Raw genomic sequence first — 23680 nt, forward strand, 5'->3', positions numbered from 1 at the left:
CTCCTCAATCAGTCCCTCCTCCCTCCTCACCCCATCACTCTTCCTCCTCTCTCCTCCTTCCTCTCTCCTTTCATCCCTCCCTACTACCTGTCCTCCCTTCTCACCTTGTCTCTCTCCCTCCTCCCTCTTCACCCCATCCCTCCTCCTTCTTCACCCCATCTCTCCTCCTTCTTCACCCCATCCCTCCTCCTTCCTTACTCCTCATCCCATTTCTCCTCCCTCCCTTCTCCTCCCTCTTCCCTCCTCACCTTGTCACTCCTTGTACCTGGTTCTTAACCAAAGGACAAGTCCATGGCTCATGAGATCTGAGTTATGCAGTTCTGTTTTGTTATGTTTTTGTTCTGTTTTTCAGTTTAAAAAATTACAATCTGAACAAATTTCACTGAAACAGGTTCCCAACAGACAGAATGCTCTGGTCCAAACGAAAATGCCTTAAAGTTGCCTGCAGCTGTAGATTTGGGAGAAAGCAGGCCTACGTTTTCCTTAAGAATGTGGCCACCGCCTGAGGAAACAGCATTGCCAGGAAACAGCTGTGCCTCCGAAGCCCACGTGACTTCAGATTCCATCTGCAGCAGATGGTAGGCTTTTGTGGCTTTCGTGGCTTCTGTGGCTTTGGTGGATTCTGTGGCATTTGTAGCTTTTGTGGATCATTTCTTCCCTGTTGGTCCCTGGTGGCCTGGCACGTGTTAAGGCCCAAATGCTGTCTTTATCTTTAATAATGTTTAATTTGAGTGGGGTCAACAGAGATCTATTAAAGGTTGTAAAAAATTTATTTAAAGTGATATTTGTGCAAAATACACGTCCTGAGCAAAAGAATGATTTTTCGACCCTCTGTTATCAGAGAGCATGGGTCTGAATAAAGTCAGGTCAGGTGCCTGCCCAGGAAAGCACTTGGCTTTCAGCTGTGTCAGTTTTCCATGACTCCTGCTTCTAGCGGGGAAGGAGGGCTGCGGCCTTCCAATGCTCAGCTGTGGTTTGCAGGCATCCCTGTTGTCTGCACCTGCAGCCCAGTCTGCTGCCACGCCCACCAAGCCATCTTTCTGAACCTCAAACGATGCTAGGATCTTTCTTCTCCCCACATACAACATTGTGGCAAGGAAGCCCAGTTCTTCCTGGCATTGCTTGTCAGTCCACTGCTTTGAAAGTGTGTCCTTATCCAAGTTGTGGCTGTGTGGACCTGCTGTTGTCCAGGAACCAGGAATGCTGGCGGTGAGTCACCCCCACCCAAGAAAATTGACCCTGGTTTGTGCGGCTCATCAGGCCTGCAGAAACCTCCTGCCGGCCATCCGGTGAGAGGAACCTCTGGGCTTGGTCAGCTTTCACACATGCCAGGGCAGCCTGGCTTTAGACACAAATCCCAGGCTGGGAGTAGCCAGAGGTGATGCCCATGAAGACTGAGAGGCCGCAGGAGTTTGTCTTCCCCCAGGCCACTGCCTGTCTGCTCCTGAGGGCAAGAACCCCCCACTGCCTGTCTGCTCCTGAGGGCAAGGACCCCCCACATTCACCCACGCGGCCCTGGAACCAGGGTCAGCAGCCACAGCCCCCGGCCACATCCAGCCCATGGTGTTTTTCTAAACGGACACAAGTTGAGAATTTTTTTTCACACTTTTAAAAACGTTTTTATTTCTATGTTATAAAGTGGGACATACACAGCCCATCGTGTGCAGAATTCCGCATCTCTTTATTCCCGCATTTCCTGGCCTTGTTAAGCACTTTTTTCCCTTAATGAAATATTTTTTCCTGGTTTCATCCATCCATATTGGGATGAGAGGGTTGTATTTTTCTAAAATGAAATGTGCTGATTCTGTTTGACTTTCTAACATGAATGGCCCATAGACTCATGTTTAAAAGATTGAAAAAAATTTTTAAAAATAGCATCTTGTGACACACAAAAATTATACCAAATTTAAATTCTGGTGTCCAGAAATAGTTTCATTTGAACCCAGCCCCCACTGCCTGTCACGTGCTGTGCTCATGGGTCTATCACACAGGGCAGCTCTCGTGGTATGGCAGAGACCACGTGGCCCACAGAGCCCAGAACGCCTGCTCTCCGGCCCATTATGCAGCAAATTTGCCAGCTCCCGGCACAGAACATGCCAGGGACTCTCTCATCCACTGAAACGTCCCACGAGCGGCTGTGCTTTGAGTCTTTTTCTGTCTTGTTACTATTGTGACTGACTTCTGGTAATCATTGGATTTTTTTCTTTTCTTTTTTCCTTTTGAAAGTGATACATGTTGGTTGGAACAAGTTAAAAAAAAAAAAAAAAAAAAAAAGAGGTCTGTGTGCTAAAATCGTTTGGAATGTCCCTCCTAACCTTCTTCACATCCCAGCTCTGTAGTGACCGATGTTTCCAATCTGAGGTGCAGCCTCCGTGGTTAATCTTTGCTCAGATGTACAGGGTGCCATTATTGTTCTTTTTACAAAAAAAAAAATGAAATGCTACAGTACATGTTACTCAGCAGCTTGTTTTATTTCACTGAATAATGAACATCTCTCCATATTAATTTGGATGTCACTGATTCATTACTTTTCACAGATGCAAAAGATTCCACAGTGGACCTTACAATAATTTTTTCACCTCTGCCGCTGTTGAGGAACATCCGTGTCAATTCCGTTTTTGTGTTATAATTCTGAAAATGAAAACCTTTGTATTCTAGTGTCTATGTACTCACGCTTTTATTCTGCAGTATAGAAACCTAAAAGTGGGACTGCTGAGTCAAAGACTGCGGGTTTTTCTAATATTAAGATGCAGTATAATGCATCTTCTCTCCCCAAATTACAGCATTTCGTGATGGCTGGCGAGGCCACAGGGAGATGGATGGTCTTTTCTTCAGAGGCTTGATTACTTTTTATCTTTAAAAAATCTCTAATAAAATGCCATTTCTTCTTCTTTATTTTTAGATAGATTCAAATGTTGAGGCTTAGTTGCCTAAAGAAAAGAGTGCAGGTAAGAGAGGGGTGTCTGTGCTTCCGTGGAAAGAAAGGGCTTGGATGGAATGGAAGGGCCACTGGGATACCATCTCCCCAAAGTCAGGGACCACCTCTGTCCCACTGACCGTGATGAGAGCTCATGGGGTGTTTGTGAAATGAGAGAATGAATGAATAAATAAGCGAATGAATGGATGGTGATAGAAAGGTCGCTGGAGAGGGACGGTGCTGATCCATGAGGGTGATGACACGCAGATCAACCAATCTCTGTCCCCCATGCCCTGCACGGGCACAAGTGCCGCTGTCCACAGACAAATGTTTGAGAACCCCTGGCTGTGGGACAGGAAGCTGAGACATTCTGCCTTCTCTGGGTTCCCCTGGGTGTGACAAGGGGTCCTCACTAAGCCGTCCTTTGACTATATTGGATGTAGAGAGAACACACATTATGTGTTTCTAAAATTCAGCAACTGCTTTTAAAAAAAAGAGGGATTCTCCATCTTCAAGAGGTTGTCTCTGCTCAAATAAACTCCAAATGTTGAACCGGGCTGGTCTCACATTCCTGCAAATAATAGGAATAATAATATTTGTATTTATTTTCTTTTTCTGTTAAAAAAAAACAAACAGAAATCTTAAGTGATCTTATTTCTCTTCAAAGGGCAAAACAGCTTTGCGGGCGAGCTTTGGAGCCAACTCTAAAGGGTCGTCCAGAGCACGGCCGCCTCCCCATACACACCCTGTCCTTGGCGTGGCTCCCGCAGCAGCCCTGGCCTCGCGCCTGTCTCCGGGCCTCCTCAGAGCCTGGCCTGGCTCCAGCCATCTCCACCACTGTGTGCCTGGGTCTCCTCCCGCTCTGCGCCGTCCCCCAGGGTGCCCCCTTGGCTCTCCTGCACACGTACCGAGGGGATGTCCCCTCCCACTCTGGACAGGTTCCTTAACCCTCTCTTTCGTAAATATAAAAATAGTTCCTGCCTCATGAGACGGCTCTAAAAATTAAATAGTAAAGCCCTCAGCATACTGCCTGCTTAAGAGCCATCTCTCAGAAAATAAGTTTGTTCTTGTAATAATAAACAACAACTTGAGTCCATACTGAGCTTCCTGCTTCAAACGCCACTGGGGCGGACCAGCCCCACGTCTCCTCCCTGCGTTGCACACGGGCAGGGCTGCAGCTTCCCCATGGGGCCTGCACCATGGTGGGACGGCCTGTGCGCCCCAGGCCCCGGATGCCCCGGCCTTGCTCCAGACACGTGGCCGTCAGCCTCCAAGGGCCCTGTGTTCACAAAGTCCCTTCCATTTTCCACCCCAAGCTGACAAAGACGCAGCTGGGGTGACCCCGAAGTGAGGGGTGAGATGTGGGTTACCAGCCCCTCCACCACCCTCTCCTCCCGGCCAGCAAGAGGCAAAGAAGGAAGCCAGGGCCTGTGGGGTGCCCACGCTGGTGAGAGGCAGAGGCCTCTGGGAGAGACGGGCTCCGTGCCAGCCCCCGGGCACGCTCCCCTCGAGGGTCCCCCAGGACCAGCTGGGGCGAGAGCCTCTGGCCAGTGCGGGGCACCTGAGGACTGCGTGGAGGGTGGAGGGGGCCCTACTGATAATAGGAGCTGGTGGCCACCCAGGGGCCTGCTCTGTTCCCGCCAGGCCGAGGCAAAGGGCGAGGCCACAGAGATGGTAGCAGACACGGGGCTGACAGGAGCCCAGAACAGCTCTGGGGACCGGGACAAGGGGGGACAGGAGGCCCCCTTGAGCAAGGGCTCCCAGGAAGCAGGTGCTGTGGTGGGGGTGCTCCACACTGCTCTGGCCCGGGAGGCCCCCTCGGTCGCCTGTGCTTGGGACCGCATTGCACAGAGCACTCTGGCTTCTTTCCACACACGGTCTTTCTCAGCCTTCACGCACACTCGGCCTTTCTCAGCCTTCACGCACACTCGGCCTTTCTCAGCCTTCATGCACACTCGGCCTTTCTCAGCCTTCACGCACACTCGGCTTTGCAGCCCTCCTGCGCACACGTGGAAGGCCCACAGGTGGACGGCACACAGTAGGGCTGCTCCCGATCCTGCAGCTGCGCCTGAGCCTTTCTTGCCTTTGCAAAATCGGTGCTCCCTCCTGGGCCCACTACGGCACAGCTGTAGGTCCTGCAGAGCCTTGCCGAACCTGTCTCCTGGATCCAAACCCGAGGCTGGCACCCAAGGAGGGGGCCGTGCTGGTGCTGGAGCCCGTGTGGCCAAGAACTGTCCCACACCCACTGTCCCATGCTGTGCCCAAGCCACATGGCGTCTCAGGGGGCTGCCAGAAGGAGGACGCTCAGTGCATAGAACCCTCTTGATGGCAAGCCCAAGACCACATGAGCCAGCTTGTGTGCAAAGTTCTTGCAACTGGGAACCCCAGGGTGGGTCTGGTCTCAGCCCAGGGACGACTTGAGGTTTCCTCCTCTCTCCGTCTTTCAATCGCGCTCTCTGTCTCTGTCTCTCTCTCTGTCTCTGTCCCTCTCTCTCTCTCTCTTTCTCTGTCTCTGACTCTCTCTGTCTCTGTCTCTCTATCTCTCTCCCTCTCTCTCTTTCTCTGTCTCTAACTCTCTGTCTCTGTCTCTCTCTCTATCTCTCTCCCTCTCTCTCTCTTTCTCTGTCTCTGTCTCTCTATCTCCCTCTCTTTCTCTGTCTCTGACTGTCTCTGTCTCTGTCTCTCTATCTCTTTCTCTGTCTCTGTCTCTCACTTTCTTTGTCTCTGATTCTGTCTCTGTCTCTCTCTCTGTCTCTGTCTCTCTGTCTCTCTCTCGTTCTATTCCTAGAGGAGGGGAGGGCACTGAACCACGGCCCAGCAGATCGTGACCCCTGGACTGGCCTAGCTCATCCTCGGGGCTTTTGAGCTGGCTTGGCTCCTCCCAAGCTTGCATTGCCCTGGTGGTTGCCGGTAACGTGAAACCACTGGACCTGCCTGGGGAAGGAAGAGGTGTTGCATTTATTGGGAGAATATTAGGGAATCTGATGGATCCCAAGGCCAGATAGGAGGTTTGCTGGGATCAGGGTTGGAGAACCCACGGGATCTGCCTCACGCTGTCCCCTGTGTCCAGCCCCAAGAGTCTGGCTCTCTCCCAGCTCTGGGGTGGAGAGGGCCCCCAAGAACCCCCGAGTTCTTCCCGTTACAGATATGTCACCCAAAGCAGCAGAATCAACCCTGTCCGGTCCCCAGTTCCACATTTCAGGGAGGTGACTGTTGGCTCCACTGCTCCCTGGTGGGGCGGCCTGTGCAGCAGAGAACACCCAGGCGCCAGTCTGTGGGCAGCGGCCAGGACAAGGTGAGGTGACTCTGCCACCCGAGCCTGTCTCCAGCCACAGCTCCCACGGCCACCAGAGCAGTGGGCTGAGGCTCCCTGACAGCCTTCTTGCAACCCCCGGGCCTGAGAGGGGCCGAACCCCTAAGCGTGCATGCTCCCAATCATAGCTGGTGATAAGGAAACCACAATTCTTCTACCTTACTGAAAGGCTATAGCACAAAAATGTGCTCAACTATGGACTAGAGCAGCACTTGTCAAACTTAAGAAACATCTGCACCTACTTGAAATGGAAATGTGTCCTCACGTCCTTCCCGGGGCCACAGGAGGCCGAGTGCTGAGGCCTCACCACCAGGCTGCAGCGTGGCTTGCATGGTTTGGAGACGACACAATGCATAGTTTCTGTTTGGCTGCATGCGTTGTCTGAGCAGGGGTCTTTCTGGCATGAAGCCCTGCTCTTGTTTGCCCGAAAGGGGAGGAGTGGGATGCGTTGTCACCACTTTCAGGGGAACCTGCTCCGTGCTGCCAGCAAAGCCATCATTGAATCCAAGATCTCTCACAGATGCTCCACTTGGCCACAGCTAAAATCCTACTCTCCACTCAATAATGGGAAAAGTCACCAATGGGTAAACTGGGAAAAATCACCAATGGGTAAACTGTGAAAAGTCACCAATGGGTAAACTGTTGTTGGAATTCAGAAAGAAATATTTTTACAATTTTGAATTCAAAGTTCAGGATAGAATCAACCTCTAACATCAGGGTGTAAGTGTTTGGTGTGTGTGTGAGTGATGTGTAGGGTGTGCGAGTGGTGTGCATGTGGCGTGTGTATGGTGAGTGTGTGTTTTGTCTGTGTGTGGTATGTGTGTGGTGCGTATGGGTATTGTGTGCATGTGGTGTGTGTGTGGTATGTGTACAGTGTGTGTTGGGGGGTGGATGATGCGTGTGTGTGTTTGAAGTGGTGTGTTGGTGTATGGTGTGTAGTGTGTGTGTGGTGTGTGTGAGGTTGTGTTGTGTGAGTGGTGTGTGTGTGCTCTGTGTGTGGTGTGTGAGAGGGTGGTGTGTATGGTGTGTGTGGGGTTGTGTTGTGTGTGTGCTCTTAAAACTCCGCCAGGAGACTCGGCTGCACCTGCGGGATGAGTGGATGTGTTACCGAGGGTGGGTCAGCACAGGTCTGCAGCAACCTCGATTCTTGCCTCCTCAGAAGAAAGAATTCGATTGAGGGGCCTAAGGCAGAAGAAGAGACAGAGGCAAGTTTTGGAGCAGGAGGAGTGGAAGTTTATTACAAAGCTTTAGAACAGGAATGGAAAGAAAGAAAAGTACACTTGGAAGAGGGCCAAGCAGGCATCTTGAAGGACAGTGCGGGGTTTGGCCTCTGACTTCGGGTTTTATACATTGGCACGCTTCCGGCGTCTTGCCTCCCTTCTTCCTTGGTTCTTCCCTTGGGGTGGGCTGTCCGCATGCGCAGTGGCCTGCTAGCGCTTGGGAGGTCACCCTGCACCTGTTTACTGGCGTTGTGAGCATGCTCATTTGAAGCGTTCTTCCCTTATCAGTCAAGTGCTCCTACAGGAACGTCATATACCAGTTAAACTCTGCCATTTTGCCTCTTAGTGTGCATGCTTGAACCCACTTGCCCAACTCCAAGATCTTATTGGGAAGCTGCTGATCACCAGCTTCAGGTTTTTTCTATCTGTAGGGAGACTGCCTTTCTCTGGCACTGGCTGCAAGCAATTATTTTAGAGAGGCAGTTAGCAACCACCTGACCATCCCCTGATGGCTGCCTGAAGTTCCTGGTTGGGAGTCCCTCTCCTGCCCTGCTCATGCCTGACTACGTACTCTAACAGATGTCAGTGAGGGACAGATGAACCAGGAAGCAATTTGATTGTGATGTGCTCTGTTATGGTTTGGGTTTTTTTACTGTTTGGGTATTTTGAACTTCTTGGACTTGAGGGTTTCTAGTACTGATTAATTTGGAAATTTTGAGGTCATTCAAAAATTATTCTGCCCTGTCTCTGGGACTCCAATTTCATAAACAGTATGTAATTATTTATATTAGCCTGATATTTTTCCTTAGGTCACTGAGGCCCTGTTCGTTTTCTTAAATCTTTTTTCCAATGATGCTTCATTTTAAATAGATTCTATCAATATGTCTTCAAATTGAATGATCTTTGTTTCTGCAGTGCTTAGTCTCCTATGAAGCCCATCCAGTGACTTGTTCCATTCAGATAATGTATTTTATAACTCTAAAAATTCTATTTGGTTCTTTATATAATCATTCTTTTTCTTATTATGTTCAAAACTAAAAACAAATCTTTAAGCATATTTGTAATAGTCTGTAAAGTTGTTGCCTGCTAATTCCATTCTCTCTTTCATTTCTGGGTAGGTATGTATTGACTAACTTTTCTCCTGGCTATGGCTCATTTTCCAGCTTCTTCATGTCTAGTAATTTTTTATTGGATGCTGGACATTACAGTGGTATGTTGTTAAGCATCTGTATTTCATTGCCCTCTTTTGAAGGTTGTTGTATTGTGTTTGGTAAGTATTTGAGTAACTTGCTTACCAGATCTATTCTTTTGAGGCTAGTTTTTAAGGTGTACTAGGGAAGGTTTAGGGTCACTTTTTTTCTAAGTGTAATTTAGCTTCTCTCCTAAGGGGTGATCCCTTTAAAAATCTTTAGTGAATGTCTCAGGTTTTTCAATGAGGTCTTTTTACTCTGGCTTGACTGGAATCAAATGTGTGATTCCGGGGAAGTTTTTACTTCATAGCTTTCTGCTAGTTCTTTGCCACATCTGGTAAAAATTCATCCTACTCATGCACAGTTAGCGTTCAACAACAGGCTCAACGGTATTCTTATGTAGATTTCTAGGATTCTTTCTTTCATTGCTCCCTACTCTCTTCTCTGAAAATTACAGGCACCCCAACCTCACCAATTCCCATCTCTGTCTTCTCAACTAAACAAGACCACCATGTTCTGCTTGGGCTTCTCCTCTCTGGGGCACAATCTAAGAAAGCCAGAGTAATCTTAATGCTCGCCTCATTTTTATTCCCGAATCGACCACAGTCCTGTGCTGCCTGTTGCCTACTGTCTGAAAACAGCTGTAACGTATATTTTTTCAAGTTTTTTCATTGTTTACTGTGGAAGGACAAGTCCAGTACCAGTTATTCCAACATGTCTGGAAGTCAACTTCTCCGCTTTGCTCATTTTCCAACAAAATTATATTAGTTTTAAATCAGAAAAACACAACAATGATATAATACATATACATAAAGAACAATCTGTTGCTCAGTTTCTCCTAAATTTATCTGAAATAAATGCTTTTTATTTTCAGCCTGGATATTATAGTTTTAAAAAGAAACTTGTTCTTTTCATAACCCCGTATCCCAAATCTTAGATTCTTTTTTGCTATAACAACTAAGGCCAATCTCTTGGCATAGTCTTTTCTCCATAGCATTTTCATGTCACCCACATATATTCTGGGGTTCCAAGTAGCAAACGGTAGGTACTCAATAAGTATCAGCTTCCTTTTTAGTGAAAGAAACAATCTTTTGGGGCTTCATTTTCATTTGCAGAAATGAAAATTATAATAGCTTCTTTATAAGTTATGGCTCTGGTTTAAATATTTGTCTCCTCTGAAACTCATGTTGAAATTTGATCCCCAATGCAGCCATCTTGAGAGGTAGGGCTTTTGGAAGGTGATTGGGTCATGAAGGCTCCACCCACATAAATGGATTAATCTACTCATGCATTTATGGGTGAAAGGGGTTAATGGATTAGTGTCTTATCCCAAGAGTGGGTTTGTTATCATGAGAGTAGGTCTGTTATGAAAGTCAGGTTGATTCTCTCGGGGGCTTTCTCACCACGCGATGCCCTGTGCCACCTCAGGGCTTTGTAGAGAGTCCCCACCCACGCAATGGCTCTCACCAGATGTGGTCCCTTGACCTGGGACTTCACAACCTCTAGAACTGTTAAGAAATAAATTTCTTTACTTTATAAATTGCCCAGTCTCAGATATTCAGTTATAGCAACAGGAAATAGACTAAGACAGTTACTATGAAGAGTAGGGATGTTTCTTGGTAGATATATCATAGTCTAGCATATAGTAGATGCGTAAACAATACGTTTAACAAGAATTTGTGAAACAATTAAAACTTTGGCTTTGGTATCCTGCTGTTCCTTTAAACACTATGCAGTAGAGATCATCGTCTCCTGCTCCTGATGAAAACTCAGACAGGCTCATGAATTCTCTATTCCCTCCTAGGTAATAGATGGTCCTACCATAGCTTTAAATCACAACACTGTCTCAATTCAGACATGCGAATGTCCAGCCTAAGACATTCATCAAACTCTGAACTTGATTTAATAGCCAGTGTTCTCTCCTCCCCAGTACCCGTCTGCAGCCCAGCAGCCTGCAGGGTGGGCTGCATAGATACACGTGTGTATGTATTATCTTTCTTTTCTTTAAAAAAAATCACCAAAATATTACTTTGCTAAGGACTTAACTTAGAAAATCCAAAATGTAAATGGCCAATGATAGCCCTGGATGTTTTCTTTTTCTGCATGAATTTTAATGCTTACTTTTAGGCCTGAAAATCCACAGAAGCATTCATAAGGGAGGGGTTGCTCTGTGGCCATCGGACAAACCATGAATTTGGGGCTCATTTCCAGACAGTGCCCTGCTCTGTAGGATCTCTGACCAGGTGAGCGGGACTCCGAGTGCAGCAGGCAGGCAGGAGCACACGGCCACAGGGGTCTCATCTGTGCTGGAGAAACGGGACCCAGAACCACAGCACACAGATAACTGCTGGTGGGAGGAACCTCACAGGCCACGAGACAATCCCTTTGCTCAGGGAAGGGCAGCTGAGCTCACTTCCCCAGGCCACCCAGGAGAAACCAGCAGAGCTAGGGGCAGAAGTCAGTCTTTAGCTACAGATGAATCACTTCATTTAAAATACCAAGTGGTCTTCGAAGTCTACACCCTTTCTAAGTCAACAAAAATCAAGTGAGGTTCACAAGTGATTATTCGGCACTGCTTCTTATACTTTCCATGAGTAATTTCTGATACTTGCAAGGCTTCCTTCCAGGGAGAAAAAGGCGAGTTAAGTATTGTCTCTGCTTTTAAGGAACTGATCATCTTGACAGGATGAATGATGAGATAAAATTTAAGAGAAACTGACTAAAATGCAGTATTAATTCCAAAAATAGATAATCGTAGGATGAAGAAGGCAAAATTAATAGCAACAAACGTAAGAAAGACTTGAGGTGTGGCCTGAACCCAGGATCAACCTACAGCCTCACTGGTGCATGCGCCTGACTCTTGGTTTGTCTTACTTGGAACAAGGTTCACAGACAAGGACAGCTGCGGCCTCCCTTCCCCCGGCCCTATGAGAGGAGGTCTCCTATTTTTAGTACTAGAGCCTACTTTTTTAGCCACCCATAAAAGGCAACTAGGGGAGTATGTCTGGGATTGATAAGGGACTGAAGTCTATGTTTACAAGGGATTTTCCCACCTAAGAAAGAGTTATGAGTGGCTCTGCTGCTCTCTTCCTGGAACTAGGGAGGGACTGAGGGCAGAGGGCAAGGCCTGTGTGGACCTGAGGATCAGAACTTGAGCGCTGGCGTGGAAACATGCAGGGTGTTTTGTTTTGTTTTGTTTTGTTTTTTGAGATGGAGTCTCGATCTGTATCCCAGACTGGAGTGCAATGGCAAGATCTCAGCTCACTGCAACCTCCACCTCCCTGGTTCAAGTGATTCTCCTGTCTCAGCCTCCTGAGAAGCTGGGATTACAAGCGCCCGACACCACGCCCCACTAATTTATATATTTTTAGTAAAGATGGGGTTTCACCATATTGGCCAGGCTGGTCTCGAACTCCTGGCCTCAGGCAATCCTCCAGCCTTGGCCTCCCAAAGTGCTGGGATTACAGGTGTGAGCCCCCACACCCGGCTGAAACATGCAGTTTTTAATGCAACATTTCCCCCTAAATTTTACTGTCATGTCTTTATTGATAATGTCCTGACATTTCAAAATTCAAAGAATACAAAGAGCATTTTTGTAAAATCCCCATCCATCCAGTTCCCCTCCCAGGAGACAAGAATATTGTGTCTCTTTAGCATCCATTCAGAGATAGAAGAATCTTCTCACAGGTAAAAAGGGATCCATGCATGGAATGGTCTGATGCAAGCGGTAACCAGGACTTCATCATTGATGGTCAAAGTCCACTTGGCAGGGGTGATGCTGAAGGGATCAGATAAAAGCACACAAACAGACCTCCAAGTCCCTGCCAACCCGAGACTCCATGGCATGATTCCCGTCCCCCTGCTATGAATGTGGAAACTCAGAGCCAGGCGGTGCCGCTCTCCCAAACCCCTGCACCTGTTTCACATCTAAACCCACACGGTGCAGGCAGGGGCAGCAGCATGTCACCCAGCAGATGCTTCCTCTCCCTTTCAGCACGGCTTTGCTTCCTGAAGGCGCTCTGGTGTTCCATACAGTGACCCTTGACCCCTCCGCAGTTTCATCCCAGCCCTTCTCCCAGCATCTCTGCAGCTGCCCTCCCTCCCTCTTCTCCTGTGGTCTCTACCAGAGTTTCTGCTCCTCCTTTTCTGTTCCTTAGGCCCTGGGTCCCATCGTGTGCAGCCAGCTTTCTCTAGTCCTCCTGGACCCGGCTTCCTGATCCCCAACGGGCAGCATCTGGCAGTTCTCTGAAATTCCACCACAGGAGGAAGTCCAGAGATAAAGGATATCGACCCGGGAGTCACAATGTAACTGGCCATCCCAGTTTGTTCGGATCAACATTGGTCTTTACAACACTATTGAAAATGGCCTCATAAACTAATAAAACCACACTGTCTTACTAAGAGTAGCCACAGAGGTATAAGTTTTGAGAAGCTATTTTTCATATGGTTTCATTTGAAATTAAAATTTTTAGCACCAACATTTCTATACTGTGGCCATCAGTTAAACAGTCCACAAAAGATATTACAGCCCTCGCCTCTGTCAGCCAGAGGCTGCCTCACCTCCTCCCCATCCAACCCACCATGTACCCCCAGAAAGAGCCAGCCTGGTCATTAGAGTGATAGCCACACAGACCCACGTACTCTTCACCACAACTCCACAAAGGTGGTGCTGAGGTTGGCTCTGTTTCAGAGATGGAGACCCTGTGGCACTAAGGTGGGTGTCATCCTCTGAGCAGAGCAGGCCTCAAGCAGCATGGCCAGGATCTCACATCCCCACAGCTTCCTGCCATTGCTTCAGACTCCTGGCGAGTGAGGGTTCAAGCACTGGCCCATCGATAGTCACATCCCAGCTATTTCAAAGGAGGACAGGCTCTGGGTGTCCACATACAGTACAAACCACAGATCAATGTAAATGCCAACAAGATCAGCGTCTTGGAAGAGAAGATTCTGACATCAGACTTCCTGGTTTGGATCTGACTGTGCCAGCTGTGCAAACCACAGCCAGTTCCTTCCTCCCTCTGTGCCTCAGTTTCCTCATCCATCACAAGGGGTGAGCATCACCTGCCCCACAGTGTGGTGAGAACCCAATGAGGGAGTGCACATTTTGCGTGGCCCAGTGCCTGACATGTGGCCTGAATTCCACGATGTCAGCTGTGGTTCCTGCCGTCCTCGCTTTCTGGAGTACTTTGGATTCATTGGGCTTCTATATCCTGGGCCAAAATATTAGAGTCAGAATGAGGAACTTACTGCAACCATTAAAACCACTGTGGAAGAGGGGAATAAGCAAGCATTACTTGCAGGTTCCCCAAGGCAGGACTGGACCCGGTGGGGCAGAGCAAGTTGCAGTCCGGCCCATGCATGCAGGCCAGGGAGAGCCGGGCCAGCCCCACATGGACCAGCCATTCCAATTTCTGCTTGTCATTGTAAAGTTTCTGACTGAGGTGAACAGTTGAAATTCGTTCATTTAATTTTAAGTTCACCCATAAACTGCATGAATAATGAATTAACGCTCTGGAGAGGCTGCAAATATAAGGCAGTAGCGGCAAAATACAATTCAACCCAGAAAACAACCCACTAATCACCTGATGGAAAAAACCCACAAGAAGAGTCCGTAGCAGGGAGGCATCGAGGCAGCAGCAGGATTTCTAAGGCTGTGAAGGAAGTGTGGAAATGAAGGGGAGATTTCGCGTGCTCTGAGCACCATCCGCATGCAGGGGCCTGGTAGACCGCGACTGTGGATGGCGGCAGCTGCCACTCTAAAACTGCATGCGTACAATCTCACTTCTGCCCTCCTGCCCTGCTCCACATCCCTCTGCACTCTGGATCCCATTCCCTCATCCATGGATTCCCTCATTCCCTCATCCATGGATTCCCTCATTCCCTCATCCATGGATTCCCTCATTCCCTCACCCATGGAATCGCTCATTCCCTCACCCATATATTCCCTCACCCATACATTCCCTCATTACCTCACCCATGCGTTCCCTCATTCCCTCACCCATGCGTTCCCTCATTCCCTCACCCATGCATTCCCTCATTCCCTCACTCATGGATTCCCTCATTCCCTCACCCGTGCATTCCCTCCTTTCCTCACCCATGGATTCCCTCATTCCCTCACCCATGCATTCCCTCATTCCCTCACCCATGCATTCCCTCATTCCCTCACCCATGGATTCCCTCATTCCCTCACCCATGCGTTCCCTCATTCCCTCACCCATGCGTTCCCTCATTCCCTCACCCATGAGTTCCCTCATTTCCTCACCCATGCCTTCCCTCATTCCCTCACCCATGGATTCCCTCATTCCCTCACCCATGCGTTCCCTCATTCCCTCACCCATGCGTTCCCTCATTCCCTCACCCATGCGTTCCCTCATTCCCTCACCCATGCGTTCCCTCATTCCCTCACCCATGCGTTCCCTCATTCCCTCACCCATGCGTTCCCTCATTCCCTCACCCATACGTTCCCTCATTCCCTCACCCATGCGTTCCCTCATTCCCTCACCCATGCGTTCCCTCATTCCCTCACCCATGCGTTCCCTCATTCCCTCACCCATGCGTTCCCTCATTCCCTCACCCATGCGTTCCCTCATTCCCTCACCCACAGATTCCCTCATTCCCTCATCCACGGATTCCCTCATTCCCTCATCCACGGATTCCCTCATTCCTCATCCACGGATTCCCTCATTCCCTCATCCATGGATTCCCTCATTCCCTCATCCACGGATTCCCTCATTCCCTCACCCATACATTCCCTCATTCCCTCATCCATGGATTCCCTCATTCCCTCATCCATGGATTCCCTCATTCCCTCACCCATACATTCCCTCATTTCCTCATCCATGGATTCCCTCATTCCCTCACCCACGGATTCCCTCATTCCCTCATCCACGAATTCCCTCATTCCCTCACCCATGCATTCCCTCATTCCCTCACCCATGGATTCCTTCATTCCCTCATCCATGGATCCCTCATTCCCTCAACCATGGATTCCCTCATTCCCTCACCCACGGATTCCCTCATTCCCTCACCCACGGATTCCCTCATTCCCTCACCCACGGATTCCCTCATTCCCTCACCCATGCATTCCCTCATTCCCTCACCCACGGATTCCCTCATTCCCTCACCCATGCATTCCCTCATTCCCTCACCCATGCATTCCCTCATTCCCTCACCCATGCATTCCCTCATTCCCTCACCCATGCATTCCCTCATTCCCTCACCCCTGGATTCCCTCATTCCCTCACCCATGCATTCCCTCATTCCCTCACCCCTGGATTCCCTCATTCCCTCACCCATGCATTCCCTCATTCCCTCATCCATGCATTCCTTCATTCCCTCATTCATGGATTCCCTCATTCCCTCACCCATGGATTCCCTCATTCCCTCACCCATGGATTCCCTCATTCCCTCACCCATGGATTCCCTCATTCCCTCACCTATGCATTCCCTCATTCCCTCACCCATGCATTCCCTCATTTCCTCACCCATGCATTCCCTCACCCCTGGATTCCCTCATTCCCTCACCCATGCATTCCCTCATTCCCTCACCCATGCATTCCCTCATTTCCTCACCCATGGATTCCCTCATTCCCTCACCCATGGATTCCCCCATTCCCTCACCCATGCATTCCCTCATTCCTTCATCCATGCATTCCCTCATTCCCTCATTCATGGATTCCCTCATTCCCTCACCCATGCATTCCCTCATTCCCTCATCCATGGATTCCCTCATTCCCTCATCCATGGATTCCCTCATTCCCTCATCCATGGATTCCCTCATTCCCTCATCCATGGATTCCCTCATTCCCTCATTCACACATTCACTCATTCCCTCATTCATGCATTCACTCATTCTTTTTGCAGCTCTTCATCCCATCCCTGCCGGGTGCCAGGCCTCATGCCAAGACTGCCTCTCCCTCGTGGAGCTTCAGTGTCAAGCTCCAGTCCATGTGACTGCTCCAGGCCACAGCAACAACTCCTGTTATGCTTGAAGGAAACTCAAACATGCAATTTAGTCGGAAACTTGATGTATTTATTTCTGTGGTACCAGAGTGGGTACAGTAGAAAGGAGAATTTCTACTAGCAGAATTTTCTAGAAAGAGAATGATCTTAAGTTTGACAAAACACTTAAACAGACCCTTAGTTAGTTACACAGAAGAAAAGTCTCAGGCTTGGAAAAGAGAGGCTTAGATAATGAAAATAGAAATATGTATATACGTGTGTGTGTGTGTGTGTGTGTGTGTGTGTGTGTGTGTGTGTGTGTGATTTAGACATGCAATTTTTATATACAGGTCTATGCAATGTATATGTATGTGTCTGTGTGTGGATCGTGGGTGGATAGAGAGAGAAATGTCACTATGAAACCCCAAGGATGGTGTGCCCATGTGAAAGGTGCTCACGTGGCGGGGACAGACAGTGCCGGCCACCAGCAGTAATGGACGCTCTCCGACTTCCAGCTTTTCCACATCTTTGCTTCACTTCTCCCTTGTCCCTGGCAGAGCCATGTGCACTGGTGGTTCCGGGAGGGATGGTGTGGTGGGGGCTGTCCATGCAGGGTGCTTTGCAGTGTGGGGTGAGGACAGCTGCCCAGAGGGACAGCAACCCACCCTTGCAGGGAGGACTGAGGGGAAATGCACCCACAGGACCCAGGGCTGCATGGTGCTGAGCTGGGGAGGAAGGGTGCATGCACAGAAACCCTGGGGAGGGCACTGCACAGCCATTGCCTCACCAGGCGTTTGGCTGTGAGATACTCAAAGAACAGGTGACATGGGAGGACAGCCTGAGCTGGGTGCAGAGTCAGGCATGTGCCCTCTGTTCCATGGGGTTTCAACTAGTGAGCGTCCCTGAGGTAGAGCCATCCCAGCGGTTGAGCTCTGCACCCTCAAGTCTCCATGCCCTTCGATGCTCTTACCATCCAAGGTCAGCCAAGGCATATAGAACCCCCACCCCCAACTGTGGGCAGTGTGCAGGCACGGCAGGTGCTCAGTATGGCGGGCAGACAGGGGGACCTGCTTGGCTGAAATGCAGCAGATGTGTGGGTGCTCAAGCCAGGGCCAGGCTACAGGGAGCCCTGTCTGCTTCTATGACTGCAGGGCCCATGGCCCCCACGAACCAGCTGGATTAGTCGGTTTTCATGCTGCTGATAAAGACATACTTGAGACTGAAAAGAAAAAGAGGTTTAACGGACTTACGGTTCCACATGGCTGGGGAGGCCTCACAATCATGGCAGAAAGCAAGGAGGATCAAGTCATGTCTTACATGGATGGTAGAAGGTAAAGAGAGAGCTTGTGCAGGAAAACTCTTCTTGATAAAACCAATAGATTGTGTGAGATTTATTCACTATCATGAGAACAGCGCAGGAAAGACCTGCCCCATCATTCAATTACCTCCCACTGGATCCCTCCCACAACACATGGGAATTCTGGGAGTTACAATTCAAGACGAGATTTGGGTAGAGACACAGCCAAACCATATCACCAGCCAAGGGGGTTGGAGGCTATGGGGAGGGGTCTAGACTGTGGACAGCCAGTTCTCAAGCAGGCCAAGACCAGCAGGACCACCCGCCTGCCCCTCATCCTGTTGCAGATTCACAGCGGCCCAGCTGTGGCTGGAGGTCATGGCCACACATGGCCATGGAGCCCTGGAAACCTGCTTGTGCCAACAGAGATGCACTGTGCTAGGAGGCCCACACTCAGCAGGAAGGGAAAAGCTGCCCATTAACCATTGTTTATGTTGATAAATATTGAAACTGATGGGTTGAAATGTGAAATGATACTTTGGATGTAGTAGGTTAAATAAAATACATTATTGAAATGAGTTGTATCTGTTTCCTTTTACTTTTTTAGGGTGGCTCCTGGAAACATAAACTCATGCAAGCATTGCATTTCTATGGGACAGCGCTGCTGCCAGCTAGCTGCGTCTTATCAGTCTGTGCCCCTCCCACACCCTCCTAGCTCAGGGTGAACACAGCCAGGCTGAAGGAAGCCTCATCTGATGGACAGGACCTCATCTGGATTCATCAGGAAGGAAGGAAGTCTGGCCCTCCCTGCATGTGACCATGGCCACTCCCATGGTCAGCAGCCTCTGAGCAGGAGTGGGCGGGACCTGGCCAGCACTCCTGTCACTTTCATCCATGAAACCCGACCTTCCTTACTGCTCCTGGGCTCCCAAGTGGATGTGCGACCACCCAACCTTCCCAGTCCTCCTGAGTGGGTGTGTGACCAGCCCTCGGCGGCTTTCTTATGACTGGAAAGTGCAGCCACGACAAGGGAGCGGCCAGCCAGGAGGGAGCAATGACCACCCGGGCTGGCCCTGGAATTGCTGGAGCCACCAGAAAGACCACCCACAAAGAGCTCCAAGGAAACACCACCGGAGGCCAGAAATGGGAGTGGGGCGGGGATCTGGAGCGGGGAGGTGACAAGGCTGAGAAGGAGCGGGTAGTCCTGGCACGATCCCATGCGGTGGCCACCTGCCTGGGTTAGCCTCAGCACGCCACCACTGCGACCTCTTTATTCCTCTTAAACTAGGTTGAACAAGTTCTGTCTGCAATCAGACAGGTCCCACCTAATACAGCTGCTCTATAAATGTGGAGGCTGGGCAGGGAGAAGGCAGATAAATCAATGGCACATTTTTTTTTCCTGATAGAAAATGTGTCCAAGGTCCCAGGGAGCAAAAGTTGCTCACAGCTTTCAATTCACCCCAGGCTGCCCCTCACAAGGCAAAATGGACAAGGGGGAACAGAATTCCCCTTCCTGGCCCTTCCCTGGTGTGCTGGGCCCCATTTCCCATCCGCTCGGGGAGAGCCGACCGTGTGCAGAGAGCAGCTGGACCTGGGTGGCTCCCTCTGCCCAGACTCCAGCGCCGCATGACGTGCAGCCCCTCAGCGGGAGCAAGTGTGGGGCCGTGGGCCTGGGCCAGGGCCAGCCGAGGAGAGATCACCCTGGGCTGGGTCTGTCTTCAATTCCAGGCTGAAGCCATCTCTGTGGAGGGTTGGGGTGCCTGCGGCCACCTGCACATGTAAGCTCTTCCCTTTAGCAGCCCAGAGGATGGAGCCCCACGGCCGTCAGGAGACCCCAGCAGGGCTCTCATGGACAGAGAGAGGAGGACAGCCTAGGCTGAGCAGCCTGACACAGACAGCAGGTCCGTCACCAGCCCACAGGGGACAGGAGGGAAGATGGACAGTCAGCGGGAGAGCCAGCCAGACAGGGTGCTGGTGGAGGCCACCGAGTGGTCCCTTAGGAGGGGCGAGAGGGCTGAGCCGAGTGCTTCCAGCCAGATCCGTGGTGGGACGAAGGGCTGAGGCGTGGGGCTGGCAGCTCTCTGCAGCCCAGGCGGTGGCTGGAGGGACCGTCCTCGAAGGGATGGCTGGAGGCCAGCAGTCTTCCCTGAGGCTAGGGGAATGAGCCCTTATTCCTGACCTCAACACACAGGGTTTTATTGTACTCACAAGACATACTGTTTGCTGAGTCATACGTGCAAATTCTGACCCAGGCCACCATAGACAAGGCCTCCAGTAATCCTCCAAGGAGGTACAGGCTACTTGGGGAGCCACGGGAACACTCTGGTGGCCAAGGGCTGGGGAGTCAAGAATGTGAACCCATCTGGATGAGGGCAAGACACAGCTGCACACAGTGGGAGGGGTGCCAAGGTCCAGCCGAGGTCCTGCCAGGCCGTGCATGAGGAGATGCAGGAAAACTGACCCGAGAGAACATTCTGAACTAGACGACAGGCCACTAAACCCGAGCAGCAAGCTCTCCTGATGGGGAGCTGGATGCTAAGTATCTTCGGCTCTGCAGGCCTCCAGGTCTCTGTCACCACGGCTCAGTCTGCTGTTGTAAAGTGAAGGCAGCCAGGGGTGCATGGAGGATGAGCGTGGCTGCAGCGTGAACGTTCATTTACAAAAGCAGACTGGACTCAGCCCACGGGCGGAAGTGTGCCATCCTGGGCAAAAGTGTGCCATCCTGGGTGGAAGTGTGCCATCCTGGGCGGAAGTGTGCCATCCTGCTGTAAAGCAACGCAGGGGATAGTGGTTTATGGACTGTGTTTAATGGCCATGTTCTCTCTCAGTGGCCAGTCTCTGGGCCAGACCGGATTTATTTTGCTTTGTTTTGTTTGTTTGCTTGTTTGTTTGTTTGAGATGGAGTCTCTCTCTGTCACTCAGGCTGGATTGCAGTGGTGCAGTCTCAGCTCACTGCAACCCCCACCTCCCAGGTTCAAGCGATTCTCCTGCCTCAGCCTCCCATGTAGCTGGGATTACAGGTGCCCACCACCATGCCTGGCTAATTTTTGTATATTTCGTAGAGACAGGGTTTCACCATGTTGGTCAGGTTGGTCTCGAACTCCTGAGCTCAGGTGATCCTCCCACCTCAGCCTCCCAAAGTGTTGGGATTACAGGTGTGAGCCACTGCGCCCAGCCCAGATTTATTTTCAGTGAGGGTTGTCAGATGTCGGTGTTTAGCCAAGCTCTGCCTTCTTACCATTGATTGTGTGTGTTCACAGACACACACACACACACACACACACAGAACCCCACCAAGGGCTGCCTCCAAGGGCTGTTCACTGCCGTCTTTACTCAAGTATCTTTGGCCCCAGCCATGCTGAGTCTCGTGGAGACTCCCATGTCGTTTTTGGGCATAGGAGACATAACTGGGAAACTCCTTTTCAAGGGCCACTAAGCTGCTGTTCCCAGCTCCCTGAAGGAGAAATGGAAACAGTGACTGTGGAGGCAGAGCTTGGATTTAGTCCTCGGAGGGGGCGTGAGGAGAGGAACAGAGCTTCTGCGGCCGCTTCTGAGTGCGAGTGGCCCAGGCGCCCAGGGCGTGAGGGTTGAAGGTTGAAACTGATGGGTTTTCAACCTTCAGTTGATGTATCAACCGAAGATACTTAGCATCTGGCCTCCCGTCAGGAGAGCTTGCTGCTCGGGTTTAGCGGCCTGTCGTCTAGTTCAGAATGTTCTCTTGGGTCAGTTTTCCTGCAGTTGAAAGGTTGAAACCGATGGGTTGAAATGCTGAAATAATCAAAATTTGGATGTATTAGGTTAAATAAAATACATTATGGAAAAGAATTTGATCTGTTTCCTTTTACTTTTCTAAGGTGGCTCCTGGAAAACGTGAACTCACACAGCACTGCCTTTCTCTCTGGGAAGCCGCCGGCCACGGGTTTCGCCTCTTCGGGAAGGGACGCATGGCCCAGGCTGACCAAGGCCTTCAGTGACGGCCTTGCACTCAGCAGGGTCCCGGAAGGGTCGGGCCCGGTCAGAACAGGCTCCACTGCTGTTGCACAGCGACCGCAGACAGCGCATCTCCAACGGGAATGAAGTGGATTTGGACACTCACTGGCCATTTGTGAGTGAAAATATCCCCACTTTGTCTATTGAGCACGTAAAGTGGTCCCAGAGCTACCAGTTTCAGAATGAGCCGTGGAGGTCGTGAGTCACGCGATGAGGCTGCGCTTTTGCCATTTTCTCGTACTTTGGAAAAATGATATAATAAAAAAGCTATCTACCAGCCACCAGAGTCATGCAATTCGAGGCGTACCTAACGGCCACCCAGCGTTAGCTGCACACAGCATGGACATTGAGGAGGACTGCAGCCCCACGCAAAGTGACACACGTCAGACTCACCCTGCACAGAGGCCACGTGACTGCCCCAGCCCAAGCCTAGGAGAAGCATTAGGACACAGCAACCATTTTCTCCAACACCTGCTAGAAAAGAGCTCATACGTGGAGGAGACGGCATCCTGCTTTTGGCTTTAAAATTTGGTTGCCCTAACTCTATGCCATATTCTGAGAACTAAAAGATATCGCCCCTGAAAGGCAGCCACAGTCTACTTCAAGAGGCCAAAAATGTGAAGAAAAAAATACTATACAGGCACATGATCAAATGCAAGCGCCGGGATACGTAAGGGAGCAGACAGCCCGTTCTAAGGGGAGCCACAGTTGTACTAGTCACCGAACGACGCGGCCTGGGTGTGCCGGCCACTGTGCCTCTGATACACCCGTCACCTCCACCTGGGAGGTCCTTCCACCTGTGCCTCTCGTACACCCGTCACCTCTCCCTGGCTGGTCCTTCCACCTGTTCTGCACCTAGGAAACTCCCACACAGTCCTTAGAGCTGAGCTCAGATGACACTTGCTCAGGAAAGGCCTCTCTCCTCTTCTACTCCTCTGTGAGACCTTCCCCTGGGTCCCGGCTCACTCATGACTCTACTTTCCAAATCACACCGGGTGCTGTGCCTCTGTCTCAGTGCACTCAACTCCAGCTGGCCTATGGGTCTGCTCCACAGCAGGCTCCACTTAGAAGGACACGGAGCTGAGGAAGGAGGGCAGGGCCAGGTTACTACACAACCTCCAATGCCGAGGCAATGCCTTCAGACTTTGTCTTGGTGGCAATATAAAGTTATGGGAGCGTGTGTGCAGAATCAGAACTGTTTTTTGGTTGGGGGAGACAGCCTCACTCTGTCTTTGGGATAAAATTAAAACCTGTAACAGGTCTATGGGGCCTCGCAGGGTCTCGGCCCTGCTCATTGCACACGGCGCCTTCCTCCCCGGCTTCAGCCCCACCAGCCCTTCCCAGTTCCATGGAGCATCCGCTCCTTCCTGCCCTGGGTGCTTGGCACATCCTGGCCTTTCTGCCTGAAGCAGCTGCCAGGCAGCTTCCGGCTCCGTGTCTCCACCTGCCCTCACCCAGTTAATGCATACTCATCCCACAGGTCTTCACTTAGCATCGTGAGCTCACACAAGCCTTCCCCCAACCACCAGACTCCATCAGAGGTCACTCAGGCCCCGGGAATCTGCCAAGCCACTCATCATCACTGTGGTTCCACTGGGTATGAACAGCCTGGCATCTGCTCTCCCAACTGAAATGCCAGCCTCTGGAGCTGAGGCCCAGGTCTGACTGTGCCTAACACTGTCTCGAATGCGGTGAGTGCTCGGTATACTGACAATAAGGCGGGGAAGTGACGCCGGAAATGGGTTGGAGGAGTCTAGGCGTGGTGTCCACTGGATGGGACCAATGTGAGAGACGCGGAAGTTTGAAAGTTGA

General features: G+C 50.5%; 3 long non-coding RNA genes across 4 annotated transcripts; 2 read left to right on the forward strand and 1 right to left on the reverse strand.

The window, feature by feature from the left end:
* The first annotated feature begins 261 nt into the window (after positions 1–261).
* On the forward strand, positions 262–4013 carry LOC105378129 (uncharacterized). The gene is made up of 3 exons (XR_943268.2): positions 262–578; positions 2903–2948; positions 3585–4013. It is a non-coding gene; the product is annotated as an uncharacterized LOC105378129 (long non-coding RNA).
* An 8153-nt stretch (positions 4014–12166) lies between these two features.
* Positions 12167–13127, reverse strand: LOC124901464 (uncharacterized). Its single transcript, XR_007059882.1, has 2 exons — positions 12765–13127; positions 12167–12418 (listed from the first exon to the last, which is right to left on the reverse strand). It is a non-coding gene; the product is annotated as an uncharacterized LOC124901464 (long non-coding RNA).
* A 5407-nt stretch (positions 13128–18534) lies between these two features.
* On the forward strand, positions 18535–23137 carry LOC105378130 (uncharacterized). 2 transcript variants are annotated; one of them, NR_188005.1, is made up of 3 exons: positions 18535–18852; positions 19675–19779; positions 21733–23137. It is a non-coding gene; the product is annotated as an uncharacterized LOC105378130 (long non-coding RNA). The 2 variants fall into 2 exon arrangements; NR_188004.1 differs by having other exon boundaries at positions 18535–19779.
* Positions 23138–23680: the final 543 nt, after the last annotated feature.

The sequence above is a fragment of the Homo sapiens genome, chromosome 6 (genome assembly GCF_000001405.40).
Source record: "Homo sapiens chromosome 6, GRCh38.p14 Primary Assembly".
NCBI lineage: Eukaryota > Metazoa > Chordata > Mammalia > Primates > Hominidae > Homo > Homo sapiens.